The following is a 6,790-nucleotide window of genomic DNA, read 5'->3' on the forward strand; positions in this document are numbered from 1 at the left end:
CTGAAAATACAAAAATTAGCCGAGCATGGTGGTGCACACCTGTAGTCCCAGCTACTTAGGAGGCTGAGACAGGAAAATCTCTTGAACGTGGGAGGCAGAGGTTGCAGTGAGCTGAGATCACACCACTGCACTCCAGCCTGGGCACTGGGCAACAGAATGAGACTCTGTCTTAAAAAAAAAAAAAAAATTCTGGCTTCTGGTTTCCCTTCCAGTCTCATGTCTCCCTCTCTGTCTCATACAGATTCCCCAGCCCTATATAAAGTCTTTCACTGTTCCCTCTACTAACTCTGGCATAATACCTATTCCACTTTATTATAATTACTTATCTCCATCCATCTTCTCTGCTAAAGCTGTGGGGTCCCCAGAACTTGTTCATAGCTTACTCACACTAAATCCTCAGTAAATGTATACAAATAGAAGGAAGGAAAAAGGAAAGGGGAGGAAACAAGAGAGGGACAGGTAGTAGTAAGAAGTACAATGACCTAGAGATCCTGGCAAAATAGTGGGTCAACAATCTAGACCAGTGAGTCAGGGGTAAAGGCATAGACAAAAGCTACTTGTTGCTAGGAGGCAATGGGTCAGAAATCTAGATGGAAAACAGTACAAGGCTGTACAAACAAAGGAACCAAAGGTAAACATGAAACAGAAGTTTCCAGCCCCACCAGGAGCTCTTATTCACCTCCTGCTGACTCGGGAAGCTGTTCCACCATCCATCACGCAAGGTAAGAAAGGCGAATGGCAGCACCTGGCTGGAAAAGGAGTGAGGGGAAGTATGGGTGGCTGATTGTGACGGAAACACAAGGCTGTACAGCACTGGCCATGTTCCTTGAGTCAAAATGATCCAGGTGGCTTTCAAAAATCTTAGTACATGAGAAATACCCCATGGCCCACTCTCTTATTTCCCCTTTCACCATGGAAACTCGCCAAGCTGAGTTTCTTGACTGGGCTACCTGCACGACCAAACCAAACAGGCACCTAATCTCTAATCTTACTGCTGGGCTCTGTCTCAGACCAGATGAGCAGAGTTCAGGCTGGATATCCCACAGGAGGAAGGCTGAATACCCCTCTCCTCACCAAAGTTGGTTAAGGTCTGGGTGAGTTATGTCTCATGTTCCTGTTGTGAAATGGAATGAACAAACAGGGGATGTGATTCATGTCTGTAGACACGTAGTATTCCTGAGAGCTAATCAGGAAATGCCATTTCATGTCTGGTCTTATAAAGCCTCTTCAAAAATTTGATAGAGGCTAAAGGGGAGCAATCATTTTAAAGTGAGCTCTTGTTATCTCTTCAACCACCTACGCCACACGCCCACCACTAAGTTCTGAGAAAACTTTACACCCCCCTCTTCTTCCTCTGCCCTAGTCCCTCTCCCCAACCCGTACCGCCAACACACACACCTGCATACACATGCACATGCAAATTGTTTGAAAGAAACATCATATGGCCAGGTACGGCGGCTCACGCCTGCAATCTCAGGACTTTGGATGGCTGAGGCGGAAGGATCTCTTGAACCGGCCATAGTGGCTCATACCTGTGGTCCCAGCCACTCAGGAGGCTGAAGTGGGAGGATAGCTTGAGCCTGGGAATTCCAGGCTGGGTGAGCCGAGATCGCGCCATTGGCCTCCAGATCAAGTGACAGAGCCAGACCCCGTCTCAAAAAAAAAAAAAAGAAAGGAAACATCATACAACATGAGGCATACTTTACACTGAAGTAAGTTGTTGTTTTCAAGGCAAAATGAGTTTCCCTTAATTTATAGGAAATAAAAAGAAATATTTAAAAGACTAGTAAGAACAAATAAATCCAGTTCTCAGCTGGTGATCGATAAATAAGAAAAAGAAAGACAGATAAGGAGAAGATTCACCTATAAATTAAGTGCATTTAACAACTTAAATTATTACTTCCCCCAAAGGAAATGAAAATGGACCCTCTGATCAGAGAGATAAAGTATGTTTTATTTTAGTTTTTTAATTAATTTTGCAGGGAGACACCTAAATTTACCAAAAAAGGGAGCTAATATCAGGGAAATACAAGATCTTAATGGAAAGATTATGGAATTCACAAGTTACTGGTGGCAACAGTTTGGACACAATTAGACATCTTAACGATAATGAAAGTATATAGTTTAATGAATCTATGTCAAGGGAAGCCTTGAGTATAAAACCTTTACAGGGTCCGACGAGATGAGGACTTTTGCTCAATGAGTAAATAGTGTTTGACCAGTTGATTAGTAAGGATGTGTTTTTGAATTCCTCGAGATTTAACAAGATGACAAATCGGACTTGTTTAGATTTCTTTTTCGGGCTAGCAAGAACACTTTGACACACTAAGTAGGAGGAGTCCCCTCAACCCTCTGTGAGACTCCTAAGCCCACTAACCCTGAAGTCACACACAGCTCAAGACACACAGAGGGGGCCTCTAAGCTGAGAGACGTTTATTCAAAGACTTCTCTGATCTATCAGAACTGGTGATCTAGGAGCTTTTTGTAAAGCTAGGTATTCTTCCTCTCCAGAAAACAAAAGCAAAAACAAAACACTTTGCTTCTCTATCAGAGGGATCCTTTTCATTTCTTTTCGGGGAAGTCTTCTTTCACGTTTAAATGAGCTCAATTTATAGATGACTCTTCTCCCTGTCTGTTCTCCTTGTCCCCTTTATCAAGCATGGTGAAAACTGTGGAGTCATCCTTGTCTCATCTGCTCTGACTAATTTGTTTACCATATCTGGCCAGTTCTTCTTTTGAAGGGTGGCTGCAATTTTCTCTTTCTTATCTCAGTTGTTGTTGCTTTGCATTAGCATGTTTTCATAGCCTCTCCTCCTCTCAGTCCCTTCCCTTCCTCCTGAAATCTAAACCTTTCTGACACTCTTTCATCTGGCACTGCCCCCTCACAACTGTTATGAGTTCCTTTTTCTCCCACATTGAGTCTGAATTCCTCTCTATGGCTTTCAAAGACTTTCTTATTCTTCCTCAACCCTCTTCATTATCTGCTACTCCCTAGTGCTCCCTTCTCTAGTGAGGTCAATATTCTCTTCCACTTACTGGGCTTGTTTCTCTTCTTCCTTCTCTTTACCCATCAATTGCCCTGTCCATTGGCTTATTTTTTTTTTTTTTTTTGAGAAAGGGTCTTGCTCTGTCACCCAGGGCAGAGTGCAGTGGTGTGATCTTGAACTCCTGGGATCAAGCAATTCTCCTGCCTCAGCCTCAGCCTTCCAAGTAGCTAGAGTTATAGACGCATGGCACCATGCCCAGCTAATTGTTTTTATTTATTTATTTATTTATTTATTTTTGAGATAGGATCTCACTTTGTTGCCCAGGCTGGGTTGAACTCCTGGGCTCAAGTGGTCCTCCCTCCTTCACTTCCCAAAGCGTTGGGATTATAGCCTTGAGCCACCGCGCTGGGGCCGGCATTTCTCACTTCTGTCTGCAGAGCATGTCTCCTCATCAGAGACCAACTTCTTACAAAGTCCCACTCAATGACTGAGATTCTTCCCTTTCTCTAAGCTCCCACAGCATGTAAAGTTTGTGGCACCTGGCTTGATACAGGTCTGGATCATTTTCAAACCGCTCTATTTGTGTGAATCTTGTCTCCCACAAAAATGATACACTTTTCAAACAAAAAGTCCATTTTCTCTGCTTACATGCATTTTGTGTCTATAGGAAAAGTTTAGAAGAGAAAGCATGATTTACATTGGATCCGTTGACATCATCATGTGATGGAGAGGCCTTTGGAGTCAGCCAGACTCATCTCAACTCTGCCACTTACTCATTGTGTAGGTGAAACTTCTGAGTCTCCATTTCCTCATGTGTAAAATGGGGATACTAATTCTTGGCAGAGTTGCTATAAAAATTAAATGTCATAAGATATGGAAAGCTTCTTAGATACTATTTGGCCCATAATTATATGCCCAATAGATAGTAGCAATATCTATTATTAAATTCTGGAGGAGGTAGGTGGCAAGACTCAATTCTGGAAGTGAGTTGGACTCACTCTCAGGTGTCCTTAGATCCTAACTGATAGGGAGAGAGGAAGCAAGAGCAGACTTCCTATCTGCTCAGCCTGGATGTGGTCAACTTCTGTCTGGGATGGTGTTTAACTGGCTGGAGGAGTTTTACTTTCTAAGATGAGAAGGAAAGGTTGTCCAGAGGGACCAGCATTCCAGAGGCTCATTTCCTGGGCCCAACTCTGAAGCTCCTTTCCTCAGAGATGATGCAGGACCCGATTATAGAGGTAGACACTGTCATACAAGAGCAATACCCCAGGGATGAGAAGCAGACATTTGGCCTTGACAGAGAGAGATTCTCCTGGTGACAGGAGCTGGACTGGTGCTGAGCGCATAAGGAGTGGCTCAACCAATCCTGCAGCAACCTGGATGCTAACAGGCACAGAGAGATATGAGGGATACAGTAATGTAACAGACTCTACTACAGTGCTTACTAAGTATGTGTCTGCATTGATCTTTGAGCTTTATGTTGTAATATTAATCTTCACAACAACACTGTGAGGTAGCTACCATTCTTGAGCCCCATAGTCTCTATCTATCCCTCTAGATTCCTTGTCTGCCCTCCTGCACTCTGCTCTGGGCCCTAGGAAGCTAGCTTTGATGGATGGCCTTAGCCTGCCTCCTTTGCACTCTGTATCTTAGTTGGGTTCAGCCACTGGGGGCTACTAACAGGAGGCACAAATATCCAGGAATGGGAATAAAACATTGGGTCTGAAAGATGGCAGGGTCAATGTTCCTCCACTGAGAGCCACAGCTATGAGTACACAGCCCTTTCTACAGGCAAATCCATAGTTACTCTTCATTCTCATAAAACCTGTGGGCCTAAGGGCAGAATTGGCTTCCTGATGTTGCTAGCTCTGGGGTGCTTCACTGCCCCATGCTGGTTTCCCCTAATCCTGCCCACTTTGGTGAGTAGTCTCTTTATTAAACCCTTCTCAATTTGAGAACACATCTGTTTCTTGCTGAGACCCTGACTAATATAATTATTGTCCCTCTTTTACAGATGAAACGCGGAAAAGTTCAGTAAAACCACCAAGTAAGTGGTGGAGCTGGGACTCAGTCCAGGCACCCAGACAACCTGGTTCCAGAGTTGGGCTCTACATTTTACTGCCAATGCAGTTCATGGAAATAACAAAGATGTGACCTGGAGAAATACCCATGACTGTAGCTTTGTGCTTTCACACCCAACCAGGCTACCTCCACAAATCAGTCTGGCCAGTGCTCACTACTCCAGGCCCCAGAGTCAGATTTTGTCATAGTTGCTTATTGTCAATTTCCTCCTTCTCTTAAGGAGACTGCAAACCCCTTCTCAGGCCAGTGTCTATTCAGGGTGGTTTTTGCTCACCCCAGTTCAGACTCCTAACCGGAGTACAAGGCGTTAGAAAGGGGTGGACCGAGGACAGAGGAAGAATGGTAGGCTCCACAAACCTAGTGCAGAAAGGTAAGACATGCGATCATTTCTTGCTTTTTTTTTTTTTTTGTGACAGAGTTTTGCTGGAGTGCAAGTGGAGTGCAGGCTGGAGTGTAGTGGCATGATCATAACTCACTGCAGCCTAGACCTCCCAGGCTTAAGCAATCCTCCTGCCTCAGCCTCCTGAGTAGCTAGGGCTACACATGTGCACTACCATACCTGGCTAATTTTTTTATTTTTGTAGAAATGGGATCTCTCCATGTTGCCCAGGCTGATCTCGAACTCCTGGGCTCAAGCGATTCTCTCGTGTCTGCCTCCCAAATTGCTGGGATTACAGACGTGAACCACTGTGCCCAATTTTCCTGCTTCTTCCTAATCTCTTTTCCTCCCTCTGAGGATGAGGATAATTCCCAAAGATGCTAACAAAGCTGTGAATGTGGAGGAACCAGAATTTTGCTCTGCGTCTAGGGCAACGTTTTATTTGGTTGTTAGAAACACCTAATTAATATACACAATTTTACTTCACGTGCCTGTTGTTTCTTGAAAGGCGAGGGGTTCCTCTTTGAGTATCATGCAATCCCATCTTTATCAAATGTTATTTGAGAAAACTGCCACTGAAAAATCAATAAAACAGTTATTGGAAAAGAATCATCCCGATGAGTGTCCATTAAGTCTCTAGCAAAGATTGATTTCAAATAAAGGACTGTTGTATAAAAAACTAACTCTTGGCTATAAGAGCTTATAATGGTGGAATAGTTTTTGTGTCTGCTTTTAAAAGCTATTTGGATCATTTTCCTCCTTGTCAGCACTCTTTATATCTATGGGATCATTCTTTAATGCAAACATAGTAGTTCAAGGCATAGAATCTGGAGCGAAATTATTTGGACTCATTTCTGGCTTGGTCACTCTCTGAGTTTGGGTTTGCTCAAAATTTGATGAGGATTTGGGTGCAAGCAGCTTATTTGAGAGGTAACAGCAGGAAGTGCCAGTAAGGAAGTGGGGAAGTGATGCAGGAAAGTAAAGACAAACAAGATGGTGGGCATGAAGGAGTGGGCACTGCCGGGTATCTGGGGACCATTCCCGCAGGCATCCACTGGGAAACTACAGAGCTCATGCTTCAGTGGTGCGCTACCCCAGGAGTGAGAAAGCTGGGAATTCATCTACCAGCTCCCATCCTGCATTGGTTGAGGGCTACTCCCGAGGTTGTGAGCTTCCTGGAATTTCTAGCCTGTCCCTGGGCAAGTCGAGCCTGCTCCTGTGGCCAGAGCAGCCCGCTGGTGAGAGTTGTGCTGGCACAGGACCAGTGGGAGACAAGAGAATATGAGAGAGGACCAACAGCATCTGCTGCAGCCCAACCCGTCACACTCAGATCCACTCATGA

At 44.4% G+C, this 6,790-nt stretch overlaps 1 long non-coding RNA gene across 1 annotated transcript; it reads left to right on the forward strand.

Annotated features, from left to right (window-relative positions):
- Window positions 1-673: 673 nt before the first annotated feature.
- On the forward strand, window positions 674-6,057 carry LOC105374721 (uncharacterized). The gene is made up of 3 exons (XR_925916.3): window positions 674-722; window positions 3,655-3,767; window positions 5,002-6,057. It is a non-coding gene; the product is annotated as an uncharacterized LOC105374721 (long non-coding RNA).
- Window positions 6,058-6,790: the final 733 nt, after the last annotated feature.

This window comes from Homo sapiens, chromosome 5, assembly GCF_000001405.40.
Source record: "Homo sapiens chromosome 5, GRCh38.p14 Primary Assembly".
In the NCBI taxonomy this organism is placed as follows: Eukaryota; Metazoa; Chordata; class Mammalia; order Primates; family Hominidae; genus Homo; species Homo sapiens.